General features: G+C 36.7%; 1 annotated feature.

Annotated features, from left to right (window-relative positions):
- Window positions 15,155–15,366: a silencer, noted in NCBI's record as "fragment chr15:95468288-95468499 (GRCh37/hg19 assembly coordinates)". NCBI's record gives its function as "represses an EF-1alpha promoter that drives an FKBP-Casp9 reporter gene in an ReSE screen in K562 erythroleukemia cells {active_cell/tissue: K562}" and the evidence as "EXISTENCE:reporter gene assay evidence [ECO:0000049][PMID:32094911]".

Here is a 16,610-nt window from a genome sequence, read left to right on the forward strand (position 1 = left end):
TTCTCTGCATAAGGATGGGAGACAGCCTAAACTCCTAATCCAGGAGAATGGGTGCTCCAAATGCCTGGAGATCTGCCTGGGCATGGTTGGGGAGGGCCTCTCTCCACACAAATCTCTGCACAGGAAGGGTGGGACTTACCAGGCTGTTTATCCAAGTGAGTGGGTGCTCTGAATGCCTGGAGATCTGCTTGAGCATGGAGCAGAAAGGACCCCTCTGCACCACGATCTCTGCACAGGAAGGTGGGCCAACTCAGGCTTTGGAACTAGACAAGCATGGGTTCTGAATGCCTGGAGATCTGCCTGCATGTGTAGCAGAAAGGGCCTCCCCTGCACCAGGATCTCTGCACAGGAAGGATGTGGGAGCTCAGGCTGCTAATACCAGTAAGCAGGTGCTCCAAATACTTGGAGATCTGCCTGTGCATGAAACACAGAAGGCCCCTCTGCATCACAGTTTATGTCTGTGAAGGATGAGATGACTCAGCCTGCTGGTCCAGGCAAACAAGTGTTCTAAATGTCTGGATGTCTGCCTGAGGCTAAAGTGGAGAGGACCCTGTGGCACTATGATCTCAGGGGAGCTGGCTGGAGCACCCAGCACATACAGTACCATGTCACCAAGCTGGTCCTGGCTGCAAGTCTTGCTACCCCAAAGAAACTGCAGCTGTGGCAGCTTTCCTCCAACTCCAGGCTTTTGGTGGGGGGCTGCACAATTCCATCTCCTTCTGCTGAGGTGCCTTCCACAGTTCTAGCTGCGAAGGCCCCTGATGCACTCCAGAGCAGGTGTTTTGATCTCTGACCCAAGACTAAAATGCCTGCATGGCCACACTACTGGGCCACCACAAGAATGACTGACTTTGTATGTACCTGGATTAAAATGGCATCCTGCTGCTGGCCCCGGGGTCTGAGAAAATATCTGCAGCTTTTCCTGGTGTCTTTTCCTCACAGTGTCTCCAAACCTCTCCACAAGTTAGCTCCGGGACTTGGGAGTAACAAAGTGCTCTCCCTTGGCCTGGATTGCTCAAATCCCCAGTGGAAAGTGAGTCACAGAGGGAGGCTCTTTGCCTTTCTCATGTACTGGGGCTTCACTTACTTTTATCAGTTGGATGGCATCACAGGATCTTTTTTGTTAGCAATCGCCTTCCTGGGATGTGGGGTCTCCTTTATGATTCCAGTGACTTCTGTCTTCTTGAATTAAAGCTTACAAACTTGATCTTTATGTAGTATTTTGCTATTTCCAAGTGGCTGAGGTATGCTAAAAGCGTCTAATCCACCTTCTTTGGTGATGTTCTCTCTCTCTTTTTGTTTACTTACCTTCATTTTTTAAAAAGAAAACATTCTTAGGGTTGTGGGTTTTTTTGTTTTTTGTTTTGTTTTGTTTTTGCCCTATTTGAGAAACCTTGACCTAATGCAATATTATAGGTTTAAAAAAATTTTTTTGTTATATATACACTAGCTTTAATCAGCCTCTAATCCACCATCTTTGATGATTTTTCTACCTCCTTTTTGTTTTCATCCCTTCATCTTCAAAAGAGAAAAAGTTTTAATTTTAAAGTCATTTTAATAATAATGATAATATTATTTTCATCATTTCGAGGGGTTGTGCTTTTTGTGTCCTATTTAAGAAGTCTTCACCTAAGCCAAGATTATAGGGTTTTTGTCTGTTTTTCTTTATATACTTACTAGCTTTATCATATATGATCCATTTTTGTTTGTGATGCAAGGGATGTCGAAATTGACTTTTTCTCATACAGATATTCATTTGTTTCAGCACCATTTCTTAGAAAACCATTTTTCCCCATGGAATTACCTTGGCATCTTTATCAAAAGTCAGTGTTCCAACTCTACTTTTCTGATTCATGAATCTTGTATATCTCTTTATTATTTTAAATCTTCTTTAACTTTATTTTGCAGCGTTTTACAGTTTTCTGTGTCCAAACTTGCATATCTTTTAAGTTATTACAATGTATTTTAATTTTTCAATTAAATTATGTGTAGACATTTTTAAAATTTCATTTTTAATTGGTCACTGCTAGTACACAGAAGTATAATTTAATTTTTGCTTTTGTTTGCTTATTTCTGTATATAGACCTTGTATCTTTTAACCTTATTAAATTAACTTTTATTTTAGCAGGGTTTTTGTTTTGTTTTAGATTTCTTAGGATTTTTTCTGCAAACTGTTAATGGCATTTTTGAATAAGGGCAGTTTGATTTTACCCTTTCAAACTGTATGCCCTTTATCTTACCTTAATTTTCTGGCTAAGGATGCAGGACAATGTTGACAGTAAGTAATGAGTAGACATTCTTGCCTTGTTTATTCATTCTAGGTAGAAAAGATTGATCCATTCACTGTTGAGTATAATTTAATGTTTATTTTCTCACATTTCTTTTTAGCTTGAGGAAGTTTTTTTCTATTTTTAGTTTGCTAAGGTTTTCTTTTATTCATGAACAAGTATCAGATTATGTCAGATGATGTTTTTTCTTCAACTAGTTCAATGGTCCTGTGGTTTTCTCTTTTTTTTCTATTAATTAGAGGAGCTATATTGATTGTTTTTTCAAGTGTTGAAGCAACATTGCATTGCTGGAATATATCCCACTTGGTTATAATGTATTATCCTCTTTATGTATTGTTGGATTTAATTTGCTAGTATTTGTTAAGGATTTTTCTGTTTATATTTGAAGCTAATGTCTTTGTCTCATTTTGGCATCACAGTTCTACAGTCCTACTAAAATGACATGAAAAGTATTCCTTCTCTATTCAGTAAAAGAGTTTTTATAGAATTAGTATTATTCATTTCTTAACTATTTAATAGTATTTATCAATACATATACCTAGACCTGGGGTTTTGTTAGTGAGTGTGTAATAAATAATTTGCCTATCCAAATAGGAGTCTATCTTTTGACCTAGGCTCCTGAGGAGTGATCTCTAAGCCTTGGAATGTCCTGCCTGATAAGAGTGTCATTATTTATCTGGAGGCTTTGGGCCACACCGGGTAGTCTGGTAGTCTAACAGGGTAATTTATGGTGGAGCTTTGAGCCACATGATATCCATTCTACCTGTATAAGTGCTAGAGCCTAAAGGTCAGCCACATGCGTAGTTAATGACATCTATATCTACATGGCTGAGTCACCCCAGAATTCTGGGTAACAAGGCTTGGATGAATTTTCCTGATTTGGCAATATTTTGTATATTTTGACAGGCATCATATCTGGATAAAATTAGCACCGTCTGTGACTTCATTGGCAGAGGACAACTTGAAGCTCTGCTCCTGGAAGTTTCTTGTAATCTGCCCCACTAGTCTCTTCCCGTGGCTCATTTTTAATCTGTGTACTTTTACTATAATAAACCACGATAACCATTAGTATAACAGCTTCCATGAGTTCTGTGAGAACTTCTAGCAAATTATCAAAACTGAGGGTGGGCTTGGAGACGATCAAATTTGCATTTAAAAAATTGATATAGAGATATTCGAGTTTTAGATTTTTTCTGAATCAGTTGGTAGTCTTTACCTTTAAAGGAATTTGTCTATTTCATGTAGATTGTCGAATTTATTGGCATAAAGTTGTTCATAGCATTTTCTTATCTTTTGACTATTTGCATAATCTGTAGCGATGTCCCTTCTTTTATTCCTAGTATTGATAATTTTATTTCTCCTTTTTCCCCCTAGATCATTTTTCTAAATATATAATTGCTTTAATCTCTGTAAATAACCAGTTTTTGGCTTCATAACTTTTCTATTATTTCTTCATTTTCTATTCCATTGACTTCTGCTCCTATAATTTATTTTTTATATACATTGTGGTTAATTAGTGTTTCTTGTAGTAATTTCTTAAGGTGGAATCTCAGATGATCAGATTTGTGTGTTTCTTCTTTATTAAGACAAATATTTAAAGCTATAAAATTTCCTCTAAGTACTGCATTATCTGCATCTCTCAAATTTTTATACACTGTATAATCATTCAAAATATTTTCTGATTTCTCTTAAAACTTTTTCTCTAGATTATAGATTATCATGTAATTTCTCCTTTTTAATAAATTACTAGAATTATGTTCCTTAATTTTCATATATTTGGTGTTTTTTCTGATTACTATGATTATCATTTTCTAGTGTAAATCTCAGTTTGTTGCACAGAGTATGTTTTCAGTACAGAGTATGTTTTCCGTCTTTTCTAAGGTATTGAGACTTGTTTTATGATCTATCATATGGTCTATTGGTAAATATACTATGTACCCTTGAAAGGAATGTGTATTCTGTATGTTTTTAATGTTCCATAAGTATTCAAGTCAAAGTATCTCATAGTGTTATTCAGCTCCTTTGTTGAGTTTGTATAGTTGTTTCATCAGTTGTTGAGAAAATGATGTTAAACTATGATTGTACATAATAGATTCTACAATCTATAGCTATGATTGTAGAATTGTCTTGTTTCTCTTTTTAAATTTGGTTAATTTTTACTTAACTGTTTTGAGTGATATTATAAGGTATAAATACATTTATAATTGTTGTGTCTTCTTGATTAATTGATTCTTTTATCATCATAAAATGTCCCTCTTATCCCTGATAATACTTTCTGTCTTGAAGTCTATTTTATCTGATATTAATAAAGCCACTTTGGCATTTTTATGCATATTGTTTTGCATGGTCTAGCTATCCATTTACTTTTGGTCTATCTATATCTTTATGCTTAAAGTGTGTCTTTTGTAGGTAGCTTATGTTTTGACCATGATTCTTTTATTTAATCATTTTTTCTCTCTAAAGTCAATTCTTACTATTTTCCATCTTTTTCACTTATAATGTGTATATATAATTTTACTTAAGTGAGAATAGTTACCTATGCTGCTTTCAAATCCTTGCCTGATTTTTGTAGTATCTGGGTCATCTTGAAATAAGTGACTTGATTTCTTTTCTCTTGAAAACAGTTTCTATTTTCCTGCTTCCTTATATGTCAGGTACTTTTAAATTGTGTTTTAGACATTATGAGTGTTAACATGTGGAGATTCTGGGTTCTTTATTTTTCTCTGATTAATGTTGTTTCCTTTGTTTCAGCAGGAAATTATCTTGGCTGGGCTTAAACTACAAACACCATTTTAGGCATTAGCTTGGGTCTCTGTTCAAATCTTTTGATTTTATCTGTGCTGCTTTCAGTCAGTTACACTGATGCATGGTTTAGAGTTATTCAGTGATGTGGATGGACAGACTTTGAACATTCTATTTCTGGCTCTTTTCATTCTGTGAGTTTCCCAATTTCTATTGTGGTCATGGATCCCCTGGTTTTAAGTTTTTGGTTCACCAAGTAGGAATCCCTTTTTTCTCATGTGTCCAGCAGTCGAAAAAAATGAGAACTAACTTCATTTGATTCCCCTGCTTGGAGTATGTATTCTCCACCAGAGTCTGCCTACTGCATTTGTCTTATATGAAGGTTTTTACTGATTTTCTGAACATGAGTCAGTCTGCAGGGTGCTTACTCTGGTATTACTGGAAATAGAATACAATAGCAGTAATTTTCATGTAACTGTTTCCTCACCCTCGTCTGAAGTTTAGGACTATGGAATCCAATGTTGTAACATTTTCTGTGTACAAAGGATTTTCCAATCCCTGCTTTTGGTGCTAATTTTTTCTTCTTTAGGTCTTTCATGGGGTTTTGTTCATCTATCTATTATAGAATTTAGAGCATAATGTTTCCTTACACACCTGCCTGTCCACACCAAATGTGACCAGTTTAGAAACAGTCCCTTTATGGGTTTCTTAAATTTGTCTACTTTGCATATATTGTGAGAAGATCCCTTTTTACAATAAATATGGTGATGGATACTTCTGCTTCTGCCAAAAAAAAAAAAAAAAAGATGTAAAAAGGCGGGTTGAATATTGTGCTGCTCAACTGAAAAGTTAATCTTTTCTACACCCATACTACCCCGAATGCACCCAATCTCGTTTGAATATTATACTGCCTCGTATTGACTCTAGATAACATGAAATTGATGACATTTCACCCTGACTCTTTTCTGCTTTGCTGCACCCATCATATAACCTCCATTCCCTCCTCCAGCCTCCGCCTGTGTACAACACCAGCCAATTAGGGCCTGGTTTATTGTGAGAAAGGTATGAACCCTTAAAAACCTACATTTAATCTACTTTAAAATGTTGTTTAGGGACCCATATTAATGGAGTGGTCCCTGAACTTATATTTTCTTGATTTTGGATAATAAGCATTTTCTGTACACACATACAAAAATGATGCCTGGTTATATTTGTTTTCATGAGTATATTTTGCCATGTAGAAGATGAGCTTAATAATCAAAACGAAATCCTGTCTTAAATTTAGGATGCTGTTATAAACAGTTGGATAATATTTCAGTTCCCTTTCTGTAATAAGATGACCAATTTGTTTATAATATTTTTCCCCGAAGGCTTGAACACAGGTTCCTGCAGAAATGAACACAAAGATCAAGTCATAAATGAAAAGAGACACACATACATGTAACACTAAATCACACAAAGGTTCATAATTTTTCTAATTCAACTTGTGAAATCAATTAAATTATTGTCAGTTTAGCATTTTAAATGGAACTCCAAAAAATGGAATTTTTATATATTTGCTTATATTGTATTTCTTGAACCTCTGCATATTGAGACCCACTAAGAAACCCTGTAAAATTAAGCAAATAACATCAATACTTCTTTTTACTTTTTGAGTTTACTTTTTACTGAATTACTTTTTTTACAAGTGAATTCTGTGAAGACGGACCTAAAGGGAACTTACTCTTTGTAGTTATCTAAGTTAGAAAACCCTCTAGGAAAAGGCTTTAGTCCTGGTTGCTGAAGACAGCAATTGTTACTATAACATTGGACATAATACTTTCATATATTTTTTTCTCTTTTAAGGATCCTAATTCATGTTTACATATGCGGCTTGCCCCGTTACTCATTTTAGATTCCCTTCTATACTAAGATAATTTTTTATCTTAATGCCCATTTTGACAGTGAAGGGTTAAAAAGTCCTGATTAAGTTGTAAATGGTTGACATTTAGCTATCAAGTATAAATCTGTGGTTAAAACATTCGTGCAAATGAGTTTCAGTGTCTGTTTTTCAACAGGAGCACCCCTGGTAGCTCTCCATCCCTCCCCTTTTTCTATCTTAGCACATCATTATAAAAGGGGACAAATTGCAGTACTTTTTCTTCTCCCTCTGTTCCAAGCCCACTGAGAATTAAGCTTTCAGAAGAGGTTCTCATTTTGATGCTAAACGGCCCTGATATTTTGCCTGACAAATTAAAGGTGGAATTATACAGAAGTGAGTGGCTTATCCATGAAGTGTTTCTACCTCCTGTATGTGTGGCCGGTGGCTGGAAGGCTGGAGAGGCAGAGGCAGCGCCCCTCCTGAGCCCCTCTTAATTTCAGCGTCTGAGTGGCAGCTGGAAACAAGGCGCTGACTGTTTGCCTGCTGTCCAGTCTTGCATTATTAGGTAAAATAAAAGTCCTTTTCTCTGAGAAACTTTTCACAATAAAACAATTCTCAGTCATTCACAAGTCAAAGGCAAAGAAAAAGGAGTCCAGTGTAAAATGCTGTAAACTAGCACATTGTCTTCTGTCATTTTCTCACTATTCACAGCTGAAAGGGAAAGAAGATGAGAAGGGAAGGGAAGGGGCAAGATAAGGCATCTTTTGACAGAAATGTCAGATCGCAGTCACTGAGGCCTCCAACCATGGCCCACACTTGAGCTGTGCAATCAGAGTGAACTCTCCAGTCCTCTCTCCAGCCCCAATTCTCTCCTTAGCTGCCTCAGCAACTTTTCTTTCCTTCAACTGCTTTTATTTTATCTGATAAGACAGTACAAATGTCTATTCCATTCTTCTGTTTAAGGCATTCTACCTAGTTCACAGTTTGGTCTTATAGATACCAAACAATGATATATCCTGTGACTCAACATGCTATTTTTTAAAAATCTAGCTTAATTCACTATCCTCATAATTTGCACGTAACATTATTTTGGTTTTGCCTATGGAGATGTGGAGGTCTAGAAAAGTTAAGAAAAAAAGTATCTAAATATAGGGTGAAACACACACACACAAAACATACAGATACCCCTTCCTACTATTGGTTTGTCTAAATTTCTGTCTTGGTCATGGCAAGATATATTTGGCCACAGCAATGTCCTCATTGTCAGGACCCCTCTATTCCAGGAGGGAGCTGGGTCAAAGAAGATGACCATGGTAAGTAGCCTAGGAACTTTCCCCTAGACCCTAGATTTGGGAGCTTCAAGTTTGACTTAGGTCCTGGCTATGGGCACCTGGGAGCCCTCTCACCAACTCAGAGCACCAGAACTTATCTTTTGAAGTGGGTGGGGGCTGGTGTTCGAGCACCAGTTTTTTTTGTTTGGTTTGGTTTTTCTTTTTCTTGAGACGGAGTCTCCCTTTGTCGCCAGGCTGGAGTACAGTGGCGCGATCTCAGCTCACTGCAACGTCCGCCTCCTGGGTTCAAGTGATTCTCCTGCCTCAGCCTCCCAAGTAGCTGGGACTACAGGCATGCACCACCACACCCAGCTAATTTTTGAATTTTCAGTAGAGACGGGGTTTCACCATATTGGCCAGGATGGCCTCGATCTCTTGACCTTGTGATCTGCCAGCCTCTGCCTCCCAAAGTGCTGGGATTACAGGCGTGAGCCACCACGCCCAGCCTTTGAGGACCAGTTTTTAATTATTTAGGAGATCTGTGAGTTGGTTGTTAAACCAGCCATGGTGAAAATATTTACAGCACAGAAATTGGCAAATGCTACAAGTCAGGCCTTTTATTTATTATAGTATTAATTTATTCTCCTTTTTCCAACAGGCTGATTTGCTATCACACCACTGCCTAAAGTATACCATCTGGAAGAAATCTGAGATTTTAGGGATGAGAAACTAGTTGTTTATCCCTGATACAGCAACTTATCTAGAAATTCTTTCAAATGCTGTCTGCTCAGCTTAAGAGACGAGTGAATCTCTTTGATCGCATGACTGACCCTAGGTTGTATATAGTTGTCACATGTCAGTAGCCTATGTGATCCCAAGCACGGCTCCCCAGCTGGCTGCCAGCTTGCAATATCCCTCCAGTTTTCCTATCTACCAGGTTAATTGCTCCCCAATCAAAATTAAAGATGCACTAAGTTCTTGCATTGAGAAAAGGACATCACCCAATTACATTTCCCTATTGTCAATTCTGTGCTATGCATAACAGACTTGAAATTGAACTGTGCTCATGGAATTGAGTACAAAAGAGGATTCAATTTAACAAACAGTTGTCGAGTACCTATTATGTATGGCATAATGAATACAAATAAAATAGTTTTAAAATCTCCAACAACTCAATTGAAGAGTAATGTAGATTTTTAATGAATATTTATTAGGGATATGGATGGAGTTCAGACCACATCTTGCAGCAAAACATCTTTAAGATAATTTTTAGATATTTTTTCCAACTACTTATTTTGTGCTAAATGCCCAAGTAATTATCACCTTCCTACTCTTTAACTTTCTGTGTCTTTTTGCACTCATCCTCATTCCCTGCCTTTCTCAAGCAATCCATCTTCCCTCTCTTGCCTGATTTTTCCATTTAGTTATGTGTCTCTCTCCCTCGTACTTGCCCATTTGGCATTATGAACTCCCTGGGCTTCCCCAGTGGTGCAAGTCTTTCCATTGTACCACTTAGGCCAAAGCCAGTGACCCATCAATGAGAACCTTCCTTTCCAGTAGCAGGAAGAAGGGTCATTGTAAATACTTACAATTGTGTTTCCAGAAATATAATTTTTTGTCTATAATTTTTAAAATCTGTTTTGCCTTTCATCATAATGATGTGTGTCACTCATAACAGCATTATGCATATGTTGGAATCCAAGGCAATTAATACCTCATCTTTACGGCCTGTGGTACATGTTTTTTGTATGGTATGCTTAATACATATTTGTTGAATGGAATGAATGCAGAAGTGTTTCAAAGCCAGCCACCTGTGTTGGATCTATTTAATAAATTCTATCATATTTATAACACGTCTAACTAAGATATATGTCCCAGGGACACAGATAACTATACTATATAGAGTTAGGATCTTAAAAAAAAAAATTCAAAAGAAAATATGGTCAGCTTTTGACGTTGGAAATAATGCAACGTTCTTATTACTAAAGCGAGAGCGATTATGCATATATGTCCAATATACCTAATGTAGGGAAGACAGAGAATATGTCTGGAAAATTGTTTACTGCAGGAAAGGATCATAACAAAATGCACTGCTATTGTGGGTCTGACTGGGTTATATGCCAGGTATTGTCCTGGTTAAGTGGCCATTGCTCAAGCCTGACTACTGCCTATAGGGTGAGTTGCTGTGAGATTTTAATTCACGAGAGGGAGGTTGTGGGTAGGAGTGATGCAGTTCCCGCGCAAGGAAGATTGATTGCATTCATTCAATCCCCACAGCCTGAAAAATACTTCCTATTTATTTTATTCAGAAGCTTGTTGTAACATATCCCAGAGTTGCCTAGTCATTTTTTTCCACTAGTGAAAAGTCTAATTTCTTTTTCCATTTTTTATTCTTCTATACAATTGACTCAATTGCAATAAGGGTGTAACATTCTGCTATATTTGCCTCTCTCTTATCTGGTTTCATCACCAATGCTTGTTTTATCCCAGAGAATGGCCAATAAAAGAGTTAATTCCATTGGGGTGCCTACCTGATTCATGTTTGTTCTTGATTGTTCAACCACTACTTAAACAGTAAAATAATAATAATAATAATAATAATAAATTAATTTACAAATGGTTTGTAATGAATCTGAGGTACCTCAGTTGTCAATTTACCAGTATATGTCAAGTACAGGGGGCACATTTTCCAAAGCTGTGCTTTACTGCTTGACTTTTCTTTAAGTCAGTTTCTGAATGAGAATTAAGGTTAATTAATAAAAATTATTCTCTATTTTGGCAGTTAGCTGAAACCAAATTGATAAACTGTAGTTCAGATATCATTCATTAAAGGCTTTATTTTGTTATATGTGTTTGTTTCATACATTGGTAAAAAAACATGTTGAATTTTTAAATGTGTGTATAACCATGTATGTCAGCATATGTGTATGGCACATTCACATGCATTCCTACTGTATAAGTCCATTCTCACACTGCTATAAAGAACCACCTGAGACTGGGTAATTTATGAAGAAAAGAGGTTTAATTGACTCACAGTTTCAGAGGCTTAACAGGAAGCATGAGTGGGAGACCTCAGGAAACTTACAATCATGACAGAGGATGAAAAGGAAGCAAGGCATTTCTCATTGTGACAGGAGAGAGAGAGAGAAGACAGCAAATGGGGAAGTGTCACACACTTTTAAACTATCAGATCTCATAAGAACTCTATCACAAGAAAAGCAAGGGGGAAGTCTGGCCCCCATGTTTCAATCACCTCCCACCAGGACTCTCCCCCAATATTGGGAATTACAATTCCACATGAAATTTGGGTGGGGACACAGAGCCAAACCATACCATCTATTAAAAGTTAGATATCCTTATCTTTTACATTTGAGGAATAGAATATCCCCAAGCCAGAGTCAAAGCTACCAAAGATTGCTTTCATATCAAGACTGCTTTATGGTTTCTTCTTTTTCCTCCTAAGTTCACATCAAAGGGTATTCAATATTAACTTTATTATCACTCTTTTAAAAATTGCTTTTTAGTTCAGTAGGTTACAGATAGCTTTAACCTTTGTCCCCCAAATTCATTTCTGTGGAATATTAATAAGTAGGTGCTTCTACTTATTAATAAGGGTAGGTGCTTCTAGCAAGTCTACCCTTGACAACATGCTAGACAACTTGCTAGAAGAACTCAAAGGACATAGAAAAAAATGTTATACTCATGGTTATAATTTATTACAGCAAAGAATACAAGTTAAAATCAGCAAAGGGATAAGGCTGGGATACAGTCCAGGAGAAACCAGAGGCAAGATTTCAGGTATCCCCTCCTCATAGATCCAAGAGGACCTGCTTAATGCCCTCAGCACTGGCAAGTGACCACATGTATGTGGTGCTAACCAAGGAAGCTTACTTGAGCTTTGCTATCCAAGGTTTTTATTGAGGGTCAATCATGTAGGCATGGAATGCCCTCAGGACTGACCTCAGCTACTCAGACTCCAGTCCCACCATAGAGTTCACCATAAGAAATGTTAGAATAAATAAAAATAGGTGTTTTCTGAAGGTCACATTGTTAGGATAAATTTATCTAGTCAAACTGATACAGCACAGTCCAAAGCCTGAGGCATACGAAAACAGACATTCGATATAAAAACAGCAACAACGACCTCAGGGATGTAAACTACTCTTATCAGGCAGAATATTCCAAGGGCTCAGAGCTTATCTTTCATAAGCCACTGGCTACGAGCCATTCCTGAAAATAGGCGTTTTTCTGGGATGTCCAGTGTTCGAGCAACCCAGGCCTCCTGAGTTAACCCTTTCCTGTCTAACAGGTGTTACTCAAAATTAAGTTCCCTTGGACAAATACTCAGGACGCACTGAAATAAAAACATTAAACAGCTTTCTCCTTTGCTCTTAACACACCAATAGCTGTATGACACTTCAAGTGTGTGAGTGTAAATGTTTATCTTCACTTAATGGATTTCAAAATCTTTCCCCCCGGAGATCTAATTTTGGGAAATGTTGCTCTAAATGAAATTTCATCCTTGAGCAAAGTATGTCTGTTCAATCAAAGAAAATGTTAGTTAAAAGGGCAAATGGAAAAACAACCTGAAGCATATGAGTTACTGGTAAAGGAGCCATAGTTCGGTATTTGACATGAAGAATTGTGATCGTCTCTTAGTATCTGGTGTCTTCATTGTGTTTTAATTGATAACTTTCTACCCAGTGTTTCACAAATCTTTATCTTCGGTGTTTTGATCAAAATCTATGTATTTTCTTAACCTTATCACTTTGGTCATGAAAAACCCAGATATTCTGGTTTCTATCATGTTTATTGGAATAACTCTCAGTTGTTAATAAGGAAAAAGTATTCAACTATCAAAAGTATAGCAAAATGTCCTTAAGACATCAGTTGATGTTAACTGACTTATAAATAAAAATGACCTCCTTGTTTCTGAAAAATGTTTCCCATATGATAACTCACAGATTATATTTGAAATTGCCCATATACCTGCTAGAATTGACTGAACTTACTACTGGGCAATTAAAATTCTTTTTATTGTAGTTGTTACTATTACTCTTATTCTGTGAATTTGCAGCAGAGTTACAAATGAGAAAAAAGGGTAATGTAAAAAGCAATTGGAAATTAGCAGGCAGTCATTTGAAAATTTGGTTTAAAAAAATCTTATGGTCTCATTAATGCAACGTGGTAAAAACACTCTCTCAAGCATTTTGTTTCAAATACAATCGTGAAATGAACACATGGATTTTGCAGAGACAAAAGGAAAGTGAAATCAAGCCAACTTTTTCACAGGAAGATGTCTTAGGGTCCAAGCATTATGAATCATTTATTTAGTTCTGAAATCTAATAAAACATCTTTATTAAAATGAAAGCATGTTTCACTACCAGAGATATTTTTGATCTGATAGCAAACAAGTTTTCTTTTATTTATTTAGCATATGCATCACATATGCTTTTGAAGTAAACATCAACGCATAACAAATAAATACTATACAACCAGACATATTTAATATGTACTGTGTTGTGCATGAGATGACAACATTTTAAACACACGGGAAGTGTATTGTAGTATTTTAGTATGAAATATATCTTAAGCTCTGTCTTACAGTATGTGTATCTTGTCCCATAAATGGTATTGATGAAGGTAAGTGCAGAAATATTTTTTAATGGGGAATTCATAGAATCATTGAATTTTCACACTTTTCATTTTGCAGAGTAGATTTGATGGTACTTCCTTGTTATAGGTAGCATGATATGTTTAATTAATGGATAAATCTTGATCCTCAGCAATCTCAGAGTCAGATATAAATGTCATCAGCAAAGACAAAAATCTATAGTGCAGACCAGTTATTAGGGTAAAACAAGATGTAATAGAAGTTTATGCATACAAATGAGCAAGGCATCCTATGAAGAAAAGCTGAAAGATGTATATTTCCCATACTAGACAAAATGGTTCAATAATGATCCTCAGACTGATCAAGACTCTCTGGGACCTTTGGCAGCTTATTCGGTTCCTCAAATATTTGAAGAAGCTCAAAAATTAGATCTTCTTTATCTTCAGAGTCCAGCTTGCCATAAGATTTAACCTCAAATTAAGTGTACTGAAGACCGAAGGGACCCATGAGGCTTTCTGCAAATAGCAACCAATGAGGACCTTGGGATTTCATCAGACAATGGTATGTGTGGAGGGCTCAAGCCAACGCTGGCAAGCAGGCAGTCTTTGGGCTGAAGTCAGTCTCTAACCAGCTTTATTTTTCTTTGGCCTGTATGATATCAATTTGAAAAATAAGAATATTTCCTATAAATATAATTTTAGCTTTTCTTGAAGAGATCAGTACCTTTGGCAGCAGTGGGCATAACAACATTGGTTCCTATTTGTGGAAGACCTCATGGGTCAATGTATGGAACTATCCTAATTGCATATGCTATCTGTCGAGTAATATACATAACTATGTGTGTATGTGAAGTACTTGTAGAGCATGCACACATACACAAACAATTTTGGGAAAATCGTAATTTCTGTTTTTTCATCATCCATATGGTATTATATAATTTTTTCAGCCCAAACTTTATTGACTGTAGTGGACAAAGTTTGTGTACTACATAAAGAACTTTTCACTGAAATCATAACCTATGGGTTGTTTGATGTGTGGCAAATTTCTACTCTTCTTGCATTTATAAAAGTTCTAATTTCTGACAGTACAGGGCCTTACGGCTACATAATTGGCCTCAAACTTTGACCCTTTCAGGATTTACAAGCTCCCTTTAGATTCTATAAGCTTATTGGATGAAGAGAATGCACCTAGAATATTTCTTGACATATGCTTTCATGATTATTTTTTTCCCTGGGAATTTTTGGTAGCTTGGATACTCTCATTCACTTGACCTAAATGCTGTAGTAATAAGGAGGAAGATTCCAAAAACTTTAGAATTATTTGTTCTTACTCCACTGGGAGGCTTCGTGGAACATTTCAGATATCTTAGTGCCATATTTTAATTTAATTTTTTTTTTTTTTTTTTGAGACAGAGTGTCATTCTGTCACCCAGGCTAGAGTGCAGCGGCCCAATCTTGGCTCACTGCAACTTCCGCCTCCCAGGTTCAAGGAATTCTCCTGCCTCAGATCCCTGAGTAGCTGGGACTACAGGCGTACACCACTATACTCGGCTAATTTTCTGTATTTGTAGTAGAGACAGGGTTTCACCATGTTGGCCAGGCTGGTCTCAAACTCCTGACCTTAAGAGATCCGCCTGCGTTGGCCTTCCAAAGTGCTGAGATTACAGATGTGAGTCACCATGCCCGGCCCTTAGTGCCATATTTTCAAATTCCTCTAAAATTCCTCAAAGATAAACTTTAATAAGGATTGGCACATTACACACTGGTTGGCACCATCCCAGCACTCCTATTTCTTGGTAAGTTTTTTCTACCCTTTTCTGTGAACTCCCGGAAGACCAGTTGGAGTTTGTCTCCTGTCTGAGTTAGGCTTTAAGCTTTTGCCAGCTTCAAGTTGTACAAACACACAAAAAGGAGATTATTTTCATGCATCCTAAGTTTTTTAGATGCCTTTTTGCTTGCAAAAGCTGGGGGGTTTTATAATGCCCCCAACTCCAGCATTAGGCAGAGAAACTTAGTGGCATGTTGAGTAAAATGCAATGCTGTGTTAACGGTTTTGAAAGAAATCAGGAAAGTTAATCATGTGTGGACACAGGGTTAAGAAGCAATGTAACAGACTATTAAGCTTAATATAGATATGTGATATAAGCATATGCAGACAGCCATTAGCATAAATTCATGTTACAGAAGAGCAGCACGGCATGCCACTTGGCGGATTTATAATGTATGTGAGAGGCAAGATGAAGATCAATAGGAGAAGGAAGTGGGTCAGAGAATCCATATACAGGTCCTGGATCAGGATGATAAAACCACTGCAAATTATTACTACATTATTTTTGAATGGTGTTATTGCCTGAGACTCTATTACATAGACATGTCAAGTGAAGGGACTGAAGACAGGGAAGTCTGCCATAGTTTCCAGCAGGTTCGGCATGAGAAATGTCCACCTCTGTTAGCTGGAGCTGGCTTTCTTTAATGCTGACAATCATTATGTTAATGATGAATCATGTTCAGAGACAGGAATATATAATATTTAGTTATGTTTTGGGGGAAACGTGCATACCTCAATAATTCTAGAGACAATTATATCTCAATAATTCTAATTCATGACAGTCATGACATAAAAATTTGAAATGGCCATCAAGCAAACATTCCAAATGCCATATTTGTAAGTAAATTATTCTGGGGGCTCTGCCTTTCAACTAAAAGAAGCAAATACATATATATTTTTCTCTGTCAGTTTCAATAAAAGCCCACTTATAAGATTTTCTGAGTTATTTGTAGGGACTTCTTTTTTTGGTAGGTGTTTTGATTTTCTAGTTTACACGGCCAAATGA

This window comes from Homo sapiens, chromosome 15 (genome assembly GCF_000001405.40).
Source record: "Homo sapiens chromosome 15, GRCh38.p14 Primary Assembly".
Lineage (NCBI taxonomy): Eukaryota > Metazoa > Chordata > Mammalia > Primates > Hominidae > Homo > Homo sapiens.